Consider the following 23,593-nt stretch of genomic DNA (forward strand, 5'->3'; position numbering starts at 1 on the left):
ATAATGTATGTATATAATGGGAATCAATGTACTCCTATATATATACATACATATATATGTATATAATGGGGATTTTCCATATATACATATATAGATATATTATTATTTTTTTCTTTTTTCTGCTTCTTGCACAGCAGGGCTAACCCATAGGGAGTGTGCCCACAGTAGCCTGATTCCCATTTTAAAAGAAAGATTTAGTAGTCAGATATTTTGGGGCAAATATTGTGTGTTGTGGGATATACATTATTCATTTTAAGACACAAAATGTTGTAATACAGAGTTGTGGCATTGTTTTATCAACTTTTTTCAAATGTGATTATGTTATTCAAAACTAAGGGAATGAATGTATATTTATAGAGAGGAAAATAAAATAGGTAGCTTTTCACCCCTTTTATTTCAGGAATTAATATGTTGAATTTTGAAATGACTTGGTGTGAGGATATTGGGACTGTACTTTCTGATTTCTTGTCTTTTAACAACTATGGTAATATTTTAAATATACAGAATTAACAGTTATTTTTTAAAGTTTATTCTAAATCAGGGCTGAAAGCTTTGAAATCATTTTTCATGATTTCATTTGAAATGTCTTTGCCATGACTCACGGGACCTAATTATGTTGATATGACCTAATTATGTTGATCACTGCCAGGCTTAAGAAATAAGAAAGAGAAAAGGGTAAAGTAAGGATAAGTGACATTAATATTGCCCAACTATGTTCTAATAATAACATATCAGTTGCAGATAATCAATGTCTTACTCTCGGGCTTAACTACTACTCTTAATTTCTTGTTTAGTTGACTTTCCTTTCTCTTATTTACCTAGTAGAAAATAATAAAAACTTCAAACCTCAGTGCTATGAGAGGGAAGATTTGCAAGTTCAGTTATGCTTGGTTTCCTGCATGATTAAACAATATTTAATCACTCCATTGTTTAAGCATTATGTGTACAGTGGCAAGCAAAAAAAGACAAGATCATTCCTCTCATGGAGCTTACCGTTTAGTGGAGGAGACAGGTTAGTTAAATATAATACTTACACAGACTAAAATATGATTGCAGTTTATGAAGGAGAGCTTCATAGAGATGTATGTCCATAATAGGAAGAGTGATTTAGTCAGGAAGTTCAGGGAGGTCTTCCTTGAGGAAATAACACTTGACTTGAGATGTAAAGGATGAAAATGAGTTAGTGGAGGAAAAGCATTAAAAAGAAGAGAGACCAGTATGTGCAAAAAAGTTGTGAGGCAGGAAGGGAAAAAACAAGTTGCTAAATGGGCAATTTATTTCCAGGATGTAGTTGATTGTAATGATAATTCAGAAATAAGTTGGATAGAAAAACTGGACAAACAACTTTCTAGGTCTTTCCAAGTAAGGTCTTTGTGATACATATTCAGTTTTATTTGAAGTAAATTGCCAGAATGTTAGATTTACCTAAATTTGAATGTGAGTTCAAGATCTATTCTAAAGCCAAATTATTTTGGCATTATCTATAGTTATTCATTTTTCCATAATCTAGAGTTAAAAGATTCTTATTTAATTAACATGTATAACAATTAAAAAGTCAAAGCATAAAGTAGTTTTTAAAGTAGGTTTAATGATACTACACTGTCAAGATTTTTTTTTAAACCTATTTTAGGGAGGAATTCCTATCACTTTTCTGTGAGGTTTCCATTGAGTTGACAGTCTACTCATTTCTTATTGTTGTTTTGCCTGAGTTGTAGATCAGAATAATTAAAATGTAAATAGACTAAATTGTATTCTATTGGGAGAGCACATATTTTAAATTGATCATGTGGTAATTATAGGATTTTCAGAGTTAATTAGAAGAATATAGCTGAAATAAAGCCTTAACGTAACCACCAGTCTTTATCAGTTTTTTCTTAGTAATAAAAGAGAACCAGAACAACAGAAATTCGTGTTTGCATATATAATGAAAGAGGGGATAGGTAAGAGAACTTTTCAAAGAAGCAGTATATAAGCTACATTTTAATACTTAGATGAATTTAATGAGTTCATAATTCTTCCAACAGACAGTATTACTCACCATATAAGCAAGCTCCTTTTAGTGGCATTTGATGTGAGGCATGCATGGTTAAAAACTGTTTTATCATTCATTCCTCTTGCTGGCAAACTTCCTAGAAAGAACAATCTTTCTGCTATTAGGAGTTGTATCTTTTGCCTTTGACTATTCAAGTATTTAATTTCTACTTAAAAAAAAACTACCCATTGGTATATTTTTCTTCTTCATTTTTCCGTTACTCCTAAAATACCATAGTGTTTTTCTTCAGGGAATCATTTGCATCCTTTGATAGTGCTTTTATTGGCTTCTGCTATAAGATCAAGATTCTTCTAATCATTTCACAGGACTGAGGTTCCTTTTTCACAATCCAGATAAATAGTTGGGAAACATTTTTTAAAACTTAGAATTAGAAAAATGCAGTGATTTCTCTTTGGGAACCAAACAAAACATTAATATTATCTTTAATGGTTATTACTTGGTATGCAAAACTGAACTTGCCCTTAGAAAGTTACATTATCTACTTTGGACTGAAAATCCTGTATAATGGGGGAATTGAGGTAGGTGGTATAAAGTGTCTACAATGAGTAAGTATATTAAATCCTCGTTATTTCTCATTTCATCAGTACTGTTTTTAAAATAGATGGTTAGACTGTTGGCATTGATGGATTATTTTTTCCATTTCTTTAACAGGAACATGAATCTGAAGGTGGAAGAACACCTTTGATGAAAGCTGCAAGAGCTGGTCATTTGTGCACTGTGCAGTTTCTTATTAGCAAAGGTAAAGAAAGGGCAAGTGATCATTTCCAAGAGGCTACAGTTTATGGAAAAAAAAATCCTAAACTGTTGCAATTTATGTTATGGCTACTTTACCTACAGTAAAGTATTGTATTCTTGCCTTTTGTTATTATATTTTATTTAGTAAGCATAGAGTTTGTGAGTTGTTTACTGGGAATTTTCTTTATTAGTTTTGAATTTTAAGTTTTCATCAACAAAGCAACATGTGGTTGCTCCCAACTTAGAAAAGCCAAATGTAAAATGTCCCACTATGATTAGGTGGATATGCAACAGCTAATGATGAGTCTATTCTGCTGGAGATGTGGGTGGAGGACAGAGAGTAAGTCTGCTACTGTGGTACTTGTTTGTGGTACAGTTGAATTAACTGAGTTTGTAAGGGTCTTATTTATAATTTTTATATGTCTTTAGAAATTCTATTATTAGAATTATATTTAGGCAAGAAATTTCAACTGGTGAATGAAGAATTAGCTTAAGACTGTTTACTGCAGTAAAATAAAATGCTGTAGAACCAATGTTAGGTTTAACCGTATATAATTGTCATGTTATGAATCAAAAATGGTAATGTCAGCAGTTTCATTTGGTTCAGCCTAACTCTTTGTATAGTGTCAGAAATACTGTGGCATATAATGAAACATCCTAGGATAGGATGGTCAAAATACAAGGAAGATTCTCTCAGGTTGTGTTATGTTATTAAGATAAAAACTATATTTATATTTTAATAGATTTCTGACATTTAGTGACATTAAAAATGCAGGGTAAGATTTTATCTTTTTTTTTTTTTTTTTTTTTTGAGAAGGAGTTTCACTCTTTTTACCTAGGCTGGAGTGCAATGGCGCCAACTTGGCTTACTGCAACCTCCGCCTCCCGGGTTCAAGTGATTCTCTTGCCTCAGCCTCCCGACTAGCTGGGATTACAGGCATGCACCACCATGCACGGCTAATTTTGTATTTTTAGTAGAGACAGGGTTTTACCATGGTTTGCCAGGCTGGTCTCAAACTCCTGACCTCAGGTGATCTGCCCGCCTCGGCCTCCCAAAGTGCTGGGATTACAGGCATGAGCCACTGCACCTGGCCAGATTTTATCCTTTTAAATGTACTTGTTTTCCTCTGAATTGGATAAAACTAGGTTTATTTTCTTCATATTGCATTTTTGCTGCCAAGTAAGGCATATCTTTACATAATATAGTCTGTAAAAGCTGTTTACCTCAACCACACAGAAATAAATAGATGGATAAACTCTGGAGTTCTCTTATGTTTCTTTACTAAAGAGAATACCTAATCATACCCAACAACAACCTGCTAAGAATATAATCAGGCTTATCAGGAATAGGAACACATTGATTATATCCTTTCTATGTCAAATAATCCTGTCATCTAAAATAATTTCATGTTGCTAATCTCAGGATGTTTATTGCTGCGTTTTACCTTTCCCAAAAGGTACTTTTATGCAAGTTAGGATTAGATTCAGCTGGATATTTTCTGAAAATTAGACAAACTAATAGTAGTGGTTTTACCCACTGACTTATTTTTCTCTTAAATAAGATAGGTAGAATTAAGAAGGAAGAATGAATATTTCTATAGTCTTAACTTTCTAGTTGAGATCTTTTGGAATTGTTAAAGGTAGCTGAACTAAAGTTATTTTTTCCAGGGGTCAAAAATAATTTATCAAAAAAGAAACTAAGAAAAGACTTTGCATTTAGACATTTTTCAGGTCATGTTATACACAGCTATTGAACAACTTGCCTTTCAGATAACATATCTGGATAATATTCTGTCTTCTCTCCATATCTAGGTCCCCTGACTCTTAAAATACACAATATGAAGAATTATATATCTCTTAAACATTGCTTAAAAAAATCTGTTTTCTTTACTTTGAGACCTGGCTATATTGCCACTTTCTAGTAGATCAAAAATGTCTTTGAAACATTTTGAGTTATATACAGTGGTGTTATTTGATGCTTACATTAACCTGTATATATTTATTAATCTTAGTCTTCTAGATTTTCCATTTTAAAAGTGATATTGAATGAACGAACTACAGCTTCATGCAACATTGTGGATGAATCTCACAAATATAATATTGAGTGAAAGAAGCCAGACGCAAAAGAGTACATTGTATGATTCCGTTCATATAAAGTTCAAAAACTAAAACCAGTTTGGAAGTCAGGGTAGTGGTTACCATTGGGAGGCTGGGTAGTGACTGAAAGGGAGCACAAGATGGGGCTTTTGGTATGTGGATAATGTTCTGTTTCTTCCTCTGGGTGCTGGTTACACAGGTGTGTGTTCATTTTGTGAAAAAAATTCAAACTATACACTTAATGATTTGTATATTTTTTTGTATCTACATTATACTTCACAAAAAATTTTTAAATGATATTGACTATGAACTAGCTTGATGTCAACCTTTGCTAAGATTGCGATTTATTTTTCTTCAAAGGTGCCAATGTTAACAGGGCTACAGCCAATAATGATCATACAGTAGTGTCGCTGGCATGTGCAGGAGGCCACCTGGCAGTTGTTGAGCTTCTCTTGGCTCATGGGGCTGACCCTACTCATCGACTCAAGGTAGTCTACTTAAAAATAAGTAAACAGGCTGTGTGCGGTGGCTCATGTCTATGATCCCAGCACTTTAGAAAGCTGAGGCGGGTGGATCACTTGAGCCCAGGAGTTTGAGACTAGTCTAGGCAACATAAGGAGACCCCATCTCTATTAAAACACACACACACACACACACACACACACACGTATGTATGTGTATATATATATAAATAATATGTGTATAGTTATAAAAATATGTTTGATCTATCTTAGTGCTTAGTATTTAATACTGTTTAAATGAGTTTTGATTTTATATGAGCTGCTAAGAAACTATAAAGAATTAATTATCATGGCAATTCTTTTTCAGGATGGTTCAACAATGCTCATTGAAGCTGCAAAGGGTGGCCATACTAATGTAGTTTCTTATCTGTTGGATTATCCAAATAATGTTCTGTCAGTTCCCACCACAGATGTGTCTCAGCTCCCTCCACCTTCTCAAGATCAGTCTCAGGTAAAGTAAAATGGAGCTTGTTTGTTAATATAAATATTCTTCAACATGATTAGAAGTTTTTGTTTAAAATCAGTTTTAAGCAAAATGGACTTGTTTTTATTCTCTGTTACATATTGAGAAAATCATGACTCTAAATTCTTTAGGATTTATTTTCTTTAAAGGTACACTGAAATTTGTTATTGCCTTATTTATTGAGAATAGTGGTTTTTAAAAACCACTTAATATCAAATATAAACGTAAGTATTCTAAGTTGTTATCTTATTACAACTAGGTTTTTCAGGGTTTTTTATTTGTTTTTTAACAAGAGAATCAAGAGAAAGCTTTTTCTTTTTTCTTTTGTTTTTTTTTTTGAGATGGAGTCTTGCTCTGTTGCCCAGGCTGGAGTGCAGTGGCACAATCTCAGCTCACCGCAACCTCCGCCTCCCAGGCTCAAGCGATTCTCTTGCCTTAGTCTCCCAAGTAGCTGGGACTATAGGTGTGCGCCACCACGCCCAGCTAATTTTTTGTATTTTAGTGGAGATGGAGTTTCACCATGTTGCCCAGGGTGGTCTCAAACTCCTGAGCTCAGGCGATCTACCTGCCTCGGCCTCCCAAAGTGCTGGAATTACAGGCGTGAGCCACATGCCCGGCCGAGAAAGCATTTTCTTAATACCTCCCAAGGTAGTATTAATTATCCTAGAGATAGTGACTTTTGTCAACCATGAAAGTATAGGTAACATAAGCGCTAGAAGTTCATTAAAGTAACTTTTAAACCCACCTTAAATTATGGAGCTTTTACTAGTATATTAAGTTGGTGAAATCTAAATTCTTTTCTACAAAGTCATTCTGAAAACTGCTAGCATACCCCAATTGAAGAAATATATTACATTTTTGTTTTCTTTTGATCCATGTAGAATTTGAACAAGGGTAAATTGGCTAGTGGATAGTGAATATGTGACTTGTACCCCTAGCTACAATTGGAACCAGCAAGGCGTTCTATTCAGCAAGGGAGTAATGTTATTTCCATTTAGCTTAAAATCATTGACTATTTGTAGATTCCCCGACTGTCTAATCATTAGTCTCAAAAATTATTGCTTGGTGAAAGCTTTTTTTAAAAAAAGCTTCAGGAAACAAAAGTGCATTTGGTGGTATATGAAGATAACCTAAAACAGGATATCTGTTTCATTTATGGGCCTTTGTCTTATTCTTTGGTCTGAGATGATTTTTTTCTGAGTTGACTTTTTAGGTGCCACGTGTGCCAACGCATACACTTGCCATGGTTGTACCTCCCCAGGAACCTGACAGAACTTCACAGGAGAACTCTCCTGCCCTTTTAGGAGTGCAAAAAGGTTAGTTATTGAATTATTTTTCTTAAAATGGGTATTTTTTCACCTAATTGATAAATCCAGAAATGTACTTTAATGATACAGAGTTACTGTGTACCCATGGCTAATTGAGGTAGATAATTCTGACAAATGCAAATAGTCTTACTATCTAAAACCAAAAAGACGTGTTAGGAAAAATGACTTTTTATTATTTTCCTGTTAACATACTGATAGTTGTAGCTTTCATCTGGCACAGATGAAAACACTTAAGAAACAAGCCAAGTTCTTGATTATATTTAAGTAACCACAGTTTATCAGACATTCATTTTTCATTTGATAATTCTTTAGCTAACCAATAGTAAATGAAGAGTAAAAATGCATATTTGCTATCTAGTTAAGTCTTTGTAACATTGATTCAGTTAATGAGTGAGAAGTTTAAGAATTACATTCAGTTGCATTTATGCAATGCTGAATATAGTAGATTATCATCTGTCACTATGTGAACCTGGACAAATAACTATCAAAATAAAATGTGTACAAGTAATATCCAAATGACTATTAAGAAGGAGAGTATACTACTTAAAAAACTCAAGTTTATGAGCTCTGATATGTTTCTGCTGTCTTTATATTTGTAAATGAAATGTACCTTCATGTATAAATGTACCTTCACTTCATAATTATGTATAGTTGTAATATCTGAGTTTTCTGAAATAAAGAAAATAGTTAATATGTAGGATGTTTAAAACTATGTAAAAACAAACTTATGAACATCGTTCATTTAGTGTATGATAATCAAGTCCTAGATATTGAAATCACAATGAGGTATGTAAGTGTATATAAATATCTGTAACACTGATTTAAGAAAAGTTGGTGTGGGTTGACTGTTATAGCAGCAAACAGAAATTTCTTTCAAATTATGCCAATTTTAGTAATTTAAAGTATTGGGGGCCTTTACCAGGGCTAAACTATTAATTTCAGAGATGAAATATCTGTAGTCTCTCTGATTTAAGCTAATTCTAGCAGTTTTTCATGGAACACCTAGCTATTCAAAATTTTCCTGCTGTTTTTAATCTTAACAATTAAAAAGCAAATTAAACATGCATCTGTAAGTATCATAATCAGCTGATATTTAACCTTTAGTAAAATATTTAAAGCTAAATGCCTCTGTTTTTATTGTTTTCTTTGGGGGGGAGTTTATTTGGCTAAACCTTATAGAGGACTGTAGTAACTTTGGCTTTGGAAACTCAATACTAAATAAGAATCATTGGCCGGGCATGGTGGCTCACGCCTGTAATCCCAGCACTTTGAAAGGCTGAGGCTGGTGAATCATCTGAGGTCAGGAGTTCAAGACCAGCCTGGCCAACATGATGAAACCCCATCTCTACGAAAAATACAAAAAATTAGCCAGGTGTGTTGGTGGGTGCCTGTAATTCTAGCTAGTTGGGAGGCTGAGGCAGGAGAATCGCTTGAAGCCAGGAGGTGGAGGTTGCAGTGAGCTGAGTTGAGGCCATTGCATTCCAGCCTGGGCGACAAGAGCAAAACTCTGTCTCAAAAAAAAAAAAAATCATAAAAAAAAATATAGGCCACGTGTGGTGGCTCACGCTTGTAATCCCAACACTTTGGGAGGCTTAAGCAAGTCAATCACTTGAGTACAGGAGTTTGAGACGAGCCTGGCCGACATGGTGAAATCCCATCTCTACTAAAAATACAAAAATTAGCCGGGTGTGGTAGTGCACACCTGTAATTCCAGCTACTAGGGAAGCTGAGGCATGAGAATCACTTGAACCCGGGAGGCAGAGGTTGCAATAAGCCGAGATCTTGCCACTGCACTCCAGCCAGGGTGATGGAGTGAGACTCTCAGAAAAAAATTAGTGCCAGGCACAGGGGCTCACACCTATAATCCCCGCACTTTGGCAGGCCAGGTGGGCAAATTGCTTGAGCCCAGGAGTTCGAGACCAGCCTGGGCAACATGGCGAAACCCTGTCTAACAAAAAAATACAAAAGTTAGCCAGGAGTGGTGGCACAAGCCTGTAGTCCCTGCTGCTAGGGAGACTGTAGTGGGAGGATCACTTCAGCCTGGGAGACCAAGGCTGCAGTGAGTCATGAGTGTGCCATTGCACCCCAGTGTGGGCCACAGAGCGAGACCTTGTCTCCAAAAAAAAAAAAAACCAGAAAAAGAAAAAAAATTAGGCTATGTGCTGTGGCTCATACCTGTAATCCCAGTGCTTTGGGAGGCCGAGGCAGAATGATCGATCAGCCTGCCCAGCATAGGAGAACTTGTCTCTATTTAAAAAAATTTAAAAATTAGCCAGTCATGGTTGCCTGTGCCTGTAGTCCCAGCTACTCAGGAAGCTGAGGCAGAAAGATCACTTGCACCCAGGAGCTCCAGGCAGCAGTGAGCTATGATTGTACCACTGCACTCCAGCCTGGGCGACAGCCTCAAAATATAAATAAATAAATAAATAAATAACACAGATCCACAAAACAATCAAGAAATAAGCTAGATAGAGTGTATGCCAAGAGGAAATAAAAACATTTTAAATTTAGGTTTAATATGTAAATACTCTGAGATGTTTAGGTAGTGATTTTTTAAGTTTATACTCTAGTGAGTAACCATATTTTTGCTTACTGAAATATCTTGGATTATTTAGTTATTTTCTGCATTTTGATGTTTTATTACTTACTAAATAGTATAAACATGGACTACCTTTCTAAGGAATCATTTTACTAGATTATTAGGGTTATCCCTAATTAACATTTGTATTTAGATCACTTGGGCACTTGCTACTGCTATCAACCAAATGGCATTGGCAATCTAACAGTTACTTATGTAGGATCAAACTGCGATAGTGCATTGTGTTAAAATGTCATGTTAGTATAAATCATGCATATCATAGAATATTATGTTGCTATGAATTAGGAAAAATCATTTAATTATGGAAAAGAACACACTGAATTACCAGGATAGGAAAACCTATCTTAAATAAAGACTTAACTTTTTTTTTATACTTAAAGCTCCTTTTTCTTCTTAAAGCTTCTCTTTTATGTCTCTGGAAAAGCTCCCTTGAGTGATGAAATTGCTGTTTGACCTTTTTGTTTTTGTTTCTTCTAAGTCCATATATTCTGTGTCGTGTATGTGATTAGGGATGGACAAAGGGTTCTTATTCCCTAGGACTCTCTTTTCCTCTTCCAGCGATCATCTTTTCAGGTTCTTATAACATTTTACTCCTGTCTGTTTTTAGTAAATCTTTTTATTATTCATATCCTCATCCTTTTAAAAATGTATTAATGCCCATAAATCTTACCCAGGTGTTTGATATATGTTCTACTCAGATATTCTTTTCTTTCATGCCCCATGTGTACCATTTGTACAGGCTCCGTCCATCTTGATTCATAACCTCCCGATTTAGGCAACTTGATCTCACTTGTCTGTTGGTTTTCAAGGATTCAGGATTCTAGGTGGCATCTAACAGAGGCCTCAGAATCACGTCCATAAAATATGAAACTCAGAGTGACATGCTCAGTTTTCTAGCATTATTTAACTTTATTACCTGCAGTTACAAATATTCAGATGGGAAAGGATACATAAGTAATGTAAATCCGTTGCCTTGTTATAACTGGTTCTACAGAAAGATTCATTTTGATCTTTTGCAAGTTGTGTAACTTAGAATTAATCTGCTGCAAAGCATTTAAAATTATGTCAGGATAAACAAAACACATCTTTTGTGTATACCTCAAGCCCTCCTGAGGAGTAATTTCCTTTTCTCTGAAATTCTAGAGTACTTCATTGGATCTTCCTTCCAGTTCTTGTCACTTTTGCTTGCTCCCCTCCCCTTGGGACCTCAAGTGTAGAGGGTTGAGTTAATCATACTCAATTTCTGGTGCTTTATCACCATAACTTCTCTCTTGTTTCATTTATTCCCTTTTATTTCTCTTTCCATTCCCCTGCTTCCCCCATAGATAATCATTTCAATATTTGATGTGTATATTCTTTTGTTCTTATAAATTCTTATAAAATATTTATTTTTTATATGTATGTATATATGTGTGTGTGTGTATATATATATATATACACACACACACATATATATATATATATACACATATATATATATATATATATATTTTTTTTTTTTTTTTTTTTTGAGACAGGGTCTCACTTTGTCACCCAGGCTGGAGTACAGTGGCGCAGTCTCAGCTCACTGCAGCCCCAACCTCCGAGGTTCAAGCAATCCTCCTGCCTCAGCCCTGCAGGTAGCTGGGACTACAGGTGCCCTGCCACTACACTTGGCTAATTTTTTGTATTTTGGTAGAGACAGGGTTTTGCCATGTTGCCCAGGCTGGTCTTGAAGTCCTGAGCTCAAGAGATCTGCCCGACTTGGCCTCCCAAAGTGCTAGGATTACAGGTGTGAGTCAGCACACCCGGCGATTACCTTGTATTTTTAATTTACATAAATAGTATTGTGCTACAGATTTCATTTTGTTTTTTCCCTTTGTTTACTCAGTACTGTTTTTAAGATTTATCCACCTATCTCTAGATTGTTTCTACCTATAGCATAGTGCTTCACACCCTGTATATCCTCCATGTTTTACCTGTCCTTTCTCCCAGTGACGAATATCCTGATTGCCTCTATTTTCTCACCCCCACTAACAATGCTTTGATGAAAATATTTGTATAGTCCCTTTATGGATCTATATAAGAATTTCTTTGGAACATCATCTCCCCACTTAGACTGTAAGCTCCTTAAGGGCAGGGTTTATGTTGCTTATCTTTATATGGTCTACTATGCCTTGCTTGTATTAGATGTTTAAGTACTTATTGAATAAATTAATGAGTGCAAGGCTAAGAATATAGATTATTTTGAAGGCAGAAGAAAATTCTTAAGCATTTTTAAGAAAGACATTGTGATTAAAGAGATGTTTTAAAAAAGTAATCAAGAAGTAGCATTCTAGAATGGTGGAAACGAGATTGAAAACAGAAGCGTAAATGTAAAGTAAGAATTAAATTGGCATGCTGCTTTTATATGTTAGAGTTGCTTTTTGGAGTAAGTGACATGAAAAGTTCTCACATTTTTATATCAAATCATTAAAATTATATAGAAAAATTGTATATACAGTGAATGGTATTCAGTATTCCTCTGGAAACTTTACTGATAATATTCTTTAGTCACTTTCCATTATATAATCATTCTTATATGGATTTACACATGCCCAAATTTGATAATATCTTTTAACATATAACTGCTTATAGTAATAAGAAGAAGATTGAATTAATCTGTTAACATGTAACACAGATGTTTCTTTGGACACCCTTGGTTAAGTGATTGCTATGTTAAAATGTATAATGTGTCCTGTTAGTTTGGGAAATTTTGAGAGGAATATTTAGACATAAAGGAAAAATAAGTCAATTCTAGGTTAGTGGCTTTCATTTTTAACTATGACCACAATAAGAAACATTTTATATTGAAGCCCAGGACACATCATACATCTGTTTATCAAAACAGAAATTCCAGTGGATAATAAACACTCTACTACATTTGATGCACTGTGTTATTTTTAGTTATACTTTTTCAACCTGATTTTCTATTTGAGATCCAGTTGGGAATGCTGTTTAAAAATCATTCTAGTAGGGTGCTGTGTGATGATGTAAGCAAGGGAATTACAGAACAAGGTTTAAGTTTTATAGACAAAACCAAGTAAGGAAATATGAAATCTAGTCTAGATCCTTCTGTATATCATGTTTTTTTCCCATTGGCCATTATTTTTCCATTGTACAATGCACTGATTATTTTTAGACACAAAAATGATTGATAGGATTAAGCTCAATCCAATAAAAAACTAAATATTTGGCAAATACATGTCCACCTCATTCCTTCACTGCCAATAAAAAAATAAAGGCCATGTTTAAGCTGTCACTACATCATGGCTTCTAATACAGATTTTTTCTAGTTTTGTTAATGGAGGGAAAGTGAGAGGCAAAGGAATAGGATAGAAACCAAACCAAAAAGATGAAATGGCGACTTTACCTGTGGTTCTTTCTTTGAGACGGAGTTTTAGTCTTGTTGCCCAGGCTGGAGTGCATTGGCACGATCTCAGCTCGCTGCAACTTCTGCCTCCTGGGTTCAAGCGATTCTCTTGCTTCAGCCTTCTGAGTAGCTGGGATTACAAGCATGCGCCACCACACCGGGCTAGCTAATTTTACATTTTTAGAAGAGACGGGGTTTCTCCATGTTGGTCAGGCTGGTCTAGAACTCCCAACCTCAGGTGATCCACCCGTCTTGGCCTCCCAAAGTGCTGGGATTACAGGTGTGAGCCACCGCACCCGGCCACCTTTATTTTTAAATAGTACTTTATGATATCATTCACTGATACCAGTGAATAGATGTCTTTGTATCTGACACTGTAAGCTGTTTGAAGGAGATAGAACCCTTTTATTTTCTGGTATCTTATAATACTACTTACTACCTGTTGAAAATTTTGTTGCTAAAAGAATACTTGTCTTAATCTCTACCCAGAAACTGTAGATGTTGCTTTAGTTTCTAGGACTAATTAGGCGACATTATCTGTTTTTCACCAATCTGTTTTATTCTTGATGTTATAGCTTGTGTTAGTCCTTTGATGTGTCTTTAGGCAATTCCACTAACTCCATGGCTATTTTGAGATGAACCACTTTTTATGCATCATTTTTGCCATCTTCCATTTTTAATGCTACATACGTTCTGGGCTTATAGTTTGTCTATTCATAAATTACTCTTAGTAATCTTGTGTTCCACGCTTCTTGCATATTATTTGTTAACAAGATAGACAGGGCCATTCCTATCTGTTACTGTCCTCAAAATTCTACTCTTATTTTGGATTATACTATGTATAAAGATTTTAAATCTGTGAATGTCCAGTGGGGTCATAACATAATTACTAACCAGTCTGGTTAGTGTTGAACTCTTACCTAGTTTTCCTGAATCTTAAATACAAATTGCTTAGTAGCTATACAAGGGTGTTTTGAAACTAATGGATGTTTAAAGGACCATGGACCATTCAGTCTTTGTAGAACTTCTAAATGTACTCGAGTGATGTCATTGAATTTATTACATGACTGAATATTTCTTTGCTATTGCTGTGGATTTGTACATTGCTATTTGTGACCATTTACCTTCCTTTTCTTGTTGATTGTCATTAGGCACTTTAAACAAATACTGTAAATCAAAACAGGGACTCCTATATGGTCTTAGGAAAGTAATAATAAAATTAGCTCACAAATCTAATTGCTTTTGCTCTGAAAGAATAAAGTCTTTTTCCATCATTTTTACTCAGAAAGAAATATAAATTGAGGAAGGCTGAGGCTGGAGAATTACTTTAGGCCAGGAGTTCAAGACCAGGCTGAGCAACATAGCAAGATCCCATCTCTTAAAATTATATATATATAAATTGAATATAGACAGTGTACTTTGCAATTTAAGGAATAACTAAGCCTCTGAAAGTGATTGCAGTGATATTGAAATTGTGGTCATCTTACCTTATTAAAGACAGTATGTAGGTGAAAAACTTAGACTTTTTTAGTAATGACACATGTTGCATATGTTTGAGCTACCTGCAGTTTTGAGATCTCTATTCTAGCAAAAAAGTAGATGAATCTCTAATTTTTTTTTCTTCAGTAGTTTTGTCACCCCTTTGAAATTCAGAACATTTCATGTCTCTAAATGATCTTTTTTCCTTTGGACTTGAGAATCATTTTTAATACAATGGATGATTTTATTTTAAAAATTCCCAAATTACCTATGTTATTCATATATGTTGACTGCAATTCAAAATAATAGATAACTTTTTTACCCAGCTTTTCTCAAACAGCTTTATTGTTTAATTTACATACCATAAAGTTCCCTTGTTTTAAATGTACAATGCAATGAGTTTTAGTAAATTTACTGAGTTGTGTAACCATCATCACTATCTAGTTTTAGACCATCTCCATCTGCCCAAAAAGATCTCTTATGCCTGTTTGCAATTGATCCTCATTTTCACTGTTATAACCTCAGGCAGCCACTACTGTCCCTGTCTCTATAGATTTGCCTTGTCTCTGCAGATTTGATATGAGTGGAATTACACAATGTGTGGTCTTTTGTGTCTAGCTTCTTTCACTTAGTATAATGTTTTTGAGGTTTACTCATGTTGTAGCATGAATCAGTAGTTTGTTCCTTTTTGTTGCTGAATAGTCCTACTTTTTTTTTTTTTTTTTTGAGATGGAGTCTCGCTCTCTCAGGCTGGAGTGCAGTGGCGCAATCTCGGCTCACTGCAAGCTCCGCCTCCCGGGTTCACGCCATTCTCCTGCCTCAGCCTCCTGAGTAGCTGGGACTACAGGCACCCGCCACCATGCCTGGCTGATTTTTTGTATTTTTAGTAGAGACGGGGTTTCACCGTGTTAGCCAGGATGGTCTCGATCTCCTGACCTTGTGATCCGCCTGCCTCTGCCTCCCAAAGTGCTAGGATTACAGGCGTGAGCCACTGTGCCTGGCCTAGTCCTACTTCTAAACAAGATTAAGCCTTAGATTTGCCTCAGAGTAGGTATTGTACGTCAAAAAATTTATGTCCTTCATTTCATGTCCAGATGTTAGGATTATTAATATTGATAATTATTTTTCAGCTGATTTGTTATGAAGGAAGGAACTTAAGTGTAATTTAAAACCTTAAAATAATATACATTGCCATTGTTTGTTAACATATACTGTCAGCATGAGTAACCCTAAATGGGAAGTCTGATTTTCTCCTAGGATCATTTATTGTTTCTCTCATAGACAGAATTTACTTGAAGTGTTCATTTAAATGCAAGTTGTCCTTTGCATAGTAAGTTTAACAGTGTTCCAGTACAGATGTGTTAAAGGTATATTTAATGGAGAATTTTAGAAAGACATGTCTTGAAAAAACTGATTTCACATTATATTTCAATATAAGAAGAAAAATATTTTGACTGAAAAACACTATCCCCTACTTTGATCTGTAAGTTTTGGTCTTTTGCATTAACTCTGCATTGCTTGCAGAGTTGATATTGCTAAAAGAATGATTGTTCTAAATGGGCAGTTAACATTTCTGGTATTTTCAACGCTATTTTGATACTGCTTTAGATTTGGTGTTCTTTAAAAAGTCCAATCTAATCAGCAGAATTTTGAGATTCTTGCCTCTTGGTTTTCCTTTTCCCCGCCCCTGACTTAATTTCCAAAATCCTCCTATCCTAAAGTAGATTTTTAAAACTTCACAGTTTTTGAATTAGCAACATCCTAGTTTGTGCTGCTTGAAATAGATGAGTATAGGCTTTAACCTGCCTAACACTGGTGTGACTCTGAACATTCATTCTATAACATTAGTTATAAGGGTTTTGGGAGGGAGGTCCGTGTGTGTGGGAGGGGAGGCTGGTTTTCTTTTTTTTTTTTCTTTTCTTTTTTTTTTTTTTTTTTTTTAGCATGGCACTCTTTCAAACATTTTTCATGTGCTTAGGTACATCCAAGCAGAAGTCCAGTTCCCTCCAGGTAGCAGATCAGGACCTACTGCCATCTTTTCACCCATACCAGCCTTTGGAGTGCATAGTAGAGGAGACTGAAGGCAAGCTGAATGAACTGGGACAAAGAATTAGTGCTATTGAAAAAGCACAGCTTAAGTCACTGGAGTTAATTCAAGGTGAACCTCTGAACAAAGATAAGATAGAAGAACTTAAAAAGAACAGAGAAGAGCAAGTCCAGAAGAAGAAGAAAATATTGAAAGAACTGCAGAAAGTGGAAAGGCAGTTGCAGATGAAAACACAGCAGCAATTTACCAAAGAATACTTGGAAACCAAAGGTCAGAAAGACACAGTGTCTCTACACCAACAGTGCTCTCATAGAGGAGTCTTCCCAGAAGGGGAAGGAGATGGTAGTCTCCCAGAGGATCACTTTTCAGAGTTACCTCAGGTTGACACAATCTTATTTAAAGATAATGATGTTGATGATGAGCAACAGTCTCCACCATCGGCAGAACAGATTGATTTTGTCCCAGTCCAGCCTTTATCATCTCCACAGTGTAACTTTTCCAGTGACTTAGGTTCTAATGGGACAAATTCTCTTGAACTTCAGAAAGTATCAGGTAATCAGCAGATTGTAGGACAGCCTCAGATTGCTATTACTGGACATGATCAGGGGCTGTTAGTTCAAGAACCAGATGGACTAATGGTTGCAACTCCAGCTCAGACGCTTACCGACACTCTTGATGACCTGATAGCAGGTGGGTTAAGAAATATATCTGTAATAATTTCTCTTTAATCTGTGTGCTGAACTTCTTTATATACCCCTCCAAAAACGTAGACTTTGTACGTTTCCATTTTAGAACTTTGTAAAATTACCCATTTCTCGAAGTATTTTGGAAGTGAATTAACTATGCTCAATAGCACTAACACACAAAAGTGTGTTTTCCCCTCTTCTTTTTTGTCATATTGCAAAGGCAAAGAAATAAAGTTGCCACAATCCTTTGTTTTAAACCGTTGGTATCAAAACCACTGTGTGCTGTGACTTGGGTAGGAGATCTCAAAGTAGAATTTCTTTGTAGGCTTTTAGAAGTATTCGTATAAGATTATACTTAAAATTTTCCTGCTGTTGATTTTCATGTCTGGAAATTTAAAATCACACAGCTTTTTTAATTTGTAATTTTATTAGATCAACTTACGTATTTCCAATTAAATGGGATGTTCAGATAAAACTAAGTATTCCATATTATAATATTTGTGGTTAGAAGATAAGGTGCATTAAAATGATTGTCACTTGATGATTTGAAGATTGGGATTTTTGCATTAACTTTCTTAATGAAAGCACACAACCACACCACACCACACACACACACACACACACACACACACACACACACACACACAGAAAAAAAGGCCTGATAACCTTGAAGTATATGTTTCTGTTTATTGTTGTGTGGAAAATTACAACTAGATATGAAATGAGGTGCACAAGTTTACTTTCCCTTTCATTGTCCTTGCAGCAGTGGGAAAACAGTGCAATTAATCATTTACCTTCCTAAAGATGGCTGGTGAATGTATCACCTCCATGAGAGCCCAATTCAGAAATGCAGCCAGAATGGCTGTTGACAGTGGATGAAGACCAAGAACTAAGATGTAGCTGGAGTGATATTCAAAGGCAGGCCAGTCCTCTGTCTCTTGATTGCAACATTTTTTTCCTTACTGTTGTCTGTTGCCTCTTGTCATATTCTCCTCCCCTTCTCCCATCCCAATTATGCTATCTCAGTTTCCTTTCTTCTTTTGTGAGCCTTTAGTCTTCCTGATCTTTACTGAATCTTTTTAAATGTGGAATAAGATTACTGAAATCAGGAATTTTATTGGGCATGTGTTTGACTTCCAATGGTTATAGAATTGTGATATTGCCTTTGAGGCTCCTCTGATATGTAATAGGTATCATTGTGCAGAGGAGGAATGTCTTAGTTTTCTTAAAGAAAATTAAAATTCTGGGAAATGTTTTAAGGAGTTAGGCTCTTTGTTCTTTAATTTGGGTTTTTATATCTTCAGTTGGTAGACACAAATTAACTTTGTATTATTAGCATTGAAAGTTGTTATAAATTGTGAATAAATTCTTGTAGTTCATTTGGAATTCTAATTTTAATCTGGGTAAAAACAGATTTTAGAATGTGAAGTATGATTACGAATAATAATGATGAAACTGATGAACTGGGAATAACATTTTTAACATGTAGTGTTCTGTAACTAGCATTATAATGTTCCTAATTAAGTGCACAGTTTGCAGTTATGAAATCTGTGTTACTGATTAGTTCAGTTATGTTAGAACTTTTTTTTTTTTAAAGAATGTAGAAATAGCTCTAAAAGGAACTTGTAAGTGTTAAGGAACATCAAGTTTTATTTCACTGAAGTATTTGTTAAATTAGTCTTTTACAAAGTTTGCATGAAACTTAGAAAATTGGCTTAGAAATTATCTTTTTATTAATATAAACAAAATTTAATTTGTGTTAGACATTAATACCTACCACATTGTACAATATTCTTTTATTAATAAGTTTTAAATTTTAAATCAGCCAACAGGTACAAAAATTATCTTCATGTAAAAACTTCCATTTTTGTGAAGGCTATGTGTTTTGAACTATATGGCAGTAATTATATTTTCTTTATTCAAGATGATGTACCTGTCTTAAATTTAAATATTATATTTTCTTAAGTCAAAGTTTGTCTTAATTTTCTTAGTTGAAGGTAAAATAAATAAGGCAAGGGTGAATTAGGTTAATACCTAATGCTGTAATTGTAAAACATATTAACATATTGGTAAGATTATAGAGTAGGACAAATATATAATTAATTTTACTTAACTCTAGTTCTTACCACTCATATTAGTAAAGAATACTGTACATCTTAAAATTCTACTTTAGAATTTTACTTTAGAAGTAAATTTTACTTTAGAAGAATTTTAGATGTATGATAACAGTACATTTTACTTTTTAAATATAGGAGTATTATTTCCTTATTGCTATTCTTTCAAAATATTTGTTGTGATAATAAGTTGTTTATATAATTTATTAATGTTGCAACTTGATTAGCTGATTAACTTAGCCCTTTAGTGTGTTGTTTGATACGTGTCATACATGATGTAGTTCCAAACAGACTATATAAATTATTGATTAGGAACATGGTTCCTCAAGTCCTTCTGAAAGTGAGCATTGGGTTTTTAGCAGTTACCATAATAGCAAGTGATTCTCAAAGTTCAAATGTCTAGGAATATAAAGTAATTTAAAGAAATTCAAAATAGCTTTTACCTTTGAGCAGTTCTAGAAATACTTAGTAAAATTTTCTTTCTTTTTTTTTTTTTTTGAGATAGAGTCTCACTCAGTCATCCGGGCTGGAGTGCAGTGGCTTGATCTCGGCTCACTGCAACTTCCGCCTCCTGGGTTCAAGTGATTCTCCTGCCTCAGCATTCCGAGTAACTGGGATTACAGGCACCTGCCACCACACCCAGCTAATTTTTGTATTTTTAGTAGAGATGGGGTTTTACCATGTTGGCCAGGCTGCTTTCAAATTCCTGACCTCAAGTGATCCACCTGCATCGGCCTCTCAAAGTGTTGGTTTTACGGGCGTGAGCCACCGCGCCTGGCCAAAATTTTCAATTCTAATATAGAAAGAAGATTGGTTAAAAATCACCTAATATCAATTTATTTACATTTATTGAGCATTTACCATGCACCAACTTCTATGATAAATGCTAAATATACTTTATTTCATGGGCTAATTATAATAATACTTTAAATAAGTCCTTTTCCCACCTCTATTTTTCTGTTGAAAAACTGAAGCTGGCCGGGAGCAGTGGCTCATGCCTGTAATCCCAGTACTTTGGCAGGCAGAGGCAGGCGGCGGATCACTTGAAATCAGGAGTTCAAGACCAGCCTGGCCAACATGGTGAAACCCATCTCTACTAAAATACAAAAATTAGCCAGGCGTGGTGGTGCATGCCTGTAATCCCAGCTACTTGGGGGGCTGAGGCAGGAGAATCACTTGAACCCAGGAGGCGGAGGTTGCAGTCAGCCAAGATCACACCACTGCACTCCAGCATGGGGCAACAGAGCGAGACTCTGTCTCAAAAAAAAAAAAAAAAAAAAAGAAAAGAAAAACTGAAGCTTAGGGAAATTAAGTTGCTAGTAAGTACCAAGATTCAAACTCAGTTCAGCCAAGTTTAAGAACCTTAGATGTAATATGCATGCATATGTGTCAACTTAAAGTTCTGATTTATCTTTAAGTATTGTTATTTCCTTAGACTTCGAAATTCTATTAATCATTTCCCTTATTTTTATATTAAGATTTGATGTACATGTAAGTTTTAATACAGTTTTTGACTTTTTACTATGTTGTTACTATCATTGCCATCTTAACAGGCTCTTAAATTGTAATTTTAAAGTATCTTTAACTCTGTAGTAGTGAATATAGGTTTAAGAATTAAAAAGTAATTAAGAAATCCTCTTAAGGAGATTTGCAATAAAATCTTTAAATAATTTTTTCTAATTGACTTTAATATTTTATTTATAGGTTTTTGTTTTTTTTTTTTTTTGAGACGGAGTCTCACACTGTCACGCATCTTGGCTCACTGCAACCTCCGCCTCCCAGGTTCAAGCGATTCCCCTTGCCTCAGCCTCCCAAGTAGCTGGGATTACAGGCGCCCACCACCATGCCTGACTAATTTTTTTTGTATTTTTAGTAGAGATGGGGTTTCACTATGTTGGCCAGGCTGATCTCAAACTCCTGACCTCGTGATCTGCCCGCCTCGGCCTCCCAAAATGCTGGGATTACAGGCATGAGCCACCACGCCAACCATAGGTTTTTATTTACATAGAACTATTTAATAAAGTTACCAATACATAAAACAGATTACAGCAATTAAATTTCTTAAAAACTCACAACAGCCGGGCACTGTGGCTCACACCTTTAATCTAACCAGCACTTTGGGAGGCCAAGGCGAGCAGATCATGAGGTTAGGAGATCGAGACCATCCTGGCTAACACAGTGAAACCTCATCTCTACTAAAAATACAAAAAAATTAGCCAGGCATGCTGGCATGTGCCTTTAATCCCAGCTACTCGGGAGGCTGAGGCAGGAGAATCCTTGAACCCAGGAGGCAGAGGTTGCAGTGAGCTGAGATCATGCCACTGCACTCCAGCCTGGGTAACAGAGCGAGACTTCATCTCAAAAAAAAAAACTCACAACATATTTTATGTACACCTAGTATCAGTGAGATTTTTTAATAATTAGATTTATTATCTTCCATATTGCCTACAAAACTTTCTTCAACTTCATAAAAAGTCAAGTAACATACTGTACTTACTTCTCTCACCTCATTTTAAAATAGTGGATAAATTGTCAGACACAGTGACTCTGCACCTGTAATCCTAGCTACTTGGGAGGCTAAGGTGGGAGGATTGCATGAGGCCAAGAGTTCAAGACCAGCCTGAGCAACACATAGAGACCCTATCTCTTTAAAAAAAAAAAAAAAAAGCATACCGTATAAGTTTAATTTGAATTATATATAGATGTTTGTGGTAGCAGTCTGTCTTGGTCACTTTCAGAGATATTTCATTCAGAGGTAGGAAATATTTTAGAATTTATGAAAATGTCATAGTCTTGGTGTAATTTTCTCTTGATACAACCTTTATTCCACATGCACTTTTTAAATCTCTTGCTACTTCCTAGTTTTAGAACTTTTCATTTGTAATTAGTCCTGTTAAAGGCACTTGCTATGGAATGTTTCTGACTGTCATTATTACATGGAGTGAAAAAATGCTTCTAGGATAATGTAGTACAAAAATGTTTAGTAATTATTGTAACAACACATTTTTGTTAACAAAGCTGTTAAATGCACAAAAGTACTTTTTAAAAGCCAACTCTGTGAAGAAGTTTCTTATCACATTCTGGCATAGCACTCTAATCAACTATTCAAAAAAATTTTTATATACCTGTTTTTCATAATAAAGAGAGATGAGATAACATAAATAAAATACTGATAGAAAAGTAGTTCTTTACTAAAGTATATGTTAATAATTGTGGGACCACTACTGAAGTCTTACTGTTAGAAAGGTTCTGTAACATATTAATCTTCAGTGTCTTGTTTTTTCAAGCAGTTTTCCAAACATATCAGCTATTTTGAGGAGGTGTAACAAAATAGTATCTGCTTTTAACTCATTGAATGACAACAATTTTTCATTATTACTATTATTTTTTTCTTGGCCACTTCTTCCAGGAAAAAAATGACAAAAAATTTTAAGGCTTTGTTTCCATTTTGCATATTCTTATAGGTGAAACAAACATATGTAATAATTATTCCTATTTGTAACTAAATAGTTAAATTATGTTATTTATGTGATGACAGAAGCTGGAGAAATTTGTATTGCCAAGATGGTTATATATGTTGGTGGGGATGAGCTGGGTAGCTCATGTAGAAATATATCTGGGCATCTTAAACTTTGCTCACTTATTTAAACTAGTAATCTACTAAACTGAGTCATTCACACTTACGAATAGTATCTTTGAATGGGATCTAGTCATATCAAAAATTCTAGAGAGAAAATATTTTCCAACACTTAAAATGCTTACATTTTTCTTTAAGTCCTACGTGTTTTTGACTGACTTTTAATCTGGGTGCAAATGTAAGGTTATTGCCATCACTGATGCTTTGTTGATTTTTTTGTATATTATTACTGATTATATGTTTTTTTCTGAGTTTTTCCTTTCTTGAGTGAATAATGTTTTTATTTTTCAATACAATGAATAATAGTATTGACAATCCTATAAAATATCTGATAGTTACATCTATTGAGCACCCACCATTTGCTAAAAACACTGTGTTAAATGCTTTATATACAGTATCTCTTAGACTACTCACAACATCCCTGAGATAGGTCCTGTTTCCCC

General features: G+C 34.9%; 2 protein-coding genes across 2 annotated transcripts in view; both read left to right on the top strand.

Annotated features, from left to right (window-relative positions):
* Positions 1–23,593, top strand: part of ANKHD1-EIF4EBP3 (ANKHD1-EIF4EBP3 readthrough) — a 147,744-nt gene that overhangs the window by 78,043 nt on the left and 46,108 nt on the right. Inside the window, exons 11-15 of the mRNA NM_020690.6 lie at positions 2,705–2,792; positions 5,246–5,373; positions 5,714–5,857; positions 7,083–7,185; positions 16,645–17,403. Coding sequence (NP_065741.3) covers positions 2,705–2,792; positions 5,246–5,373; positions 5,714–5,857; positions 7,083–7,185; positions 16,645–17,403 — 1,222 coding nt within the window. The remainder of the gene's footprint in view (positions 1–2,704; positions 2,793–5,245; positions 5,374–5,713; positions 5,858–7,082; positions 7,186–16,644; positions 17,404–23,593) is intronic.
* The window catches only part of ANKHD1 (ankyrin repeat and KH domain containing 1), a 138,017-nt gene that overhangs the window by 78,043 nt on the left and 36,381 nt on the right, over positions 1–23,593 (top strand). Inside the window, exons 11-15 of the mRNA NM_017747.3 lie at positions 2,705–2,792; positions 5,246–5,373; positions 5,714–5,857; positions 7,083–7,185; positions 16,645–17,403. Coding sequence (NP_060217.1) covers positions 2,705–2,792; positions 5,246–5,373; positions 5,714–5,857; positions 7,083–7,185; positions 16,645–17,403 — 1,222 coding nt within the window. The remainder of the gene's footprint in view (positions 1–2,704; positions 2,793–5,245; positions 5,374–5,713; positions 5,858–7,082; positions 7,186–16,644; positions 17,404–23,593) is intronic.

This window comes from Homo sapiens, chromosome 5 (assembly GCF_000001405.40).
Source record: "Homo sapiens chromosome 5, GRCh38.p14 Primary Assembly".
NCBI lineage: Eukaryota > Metazoa > Chordata > Mammalia > Primates > Hominidae > Homo > Homo sapiens.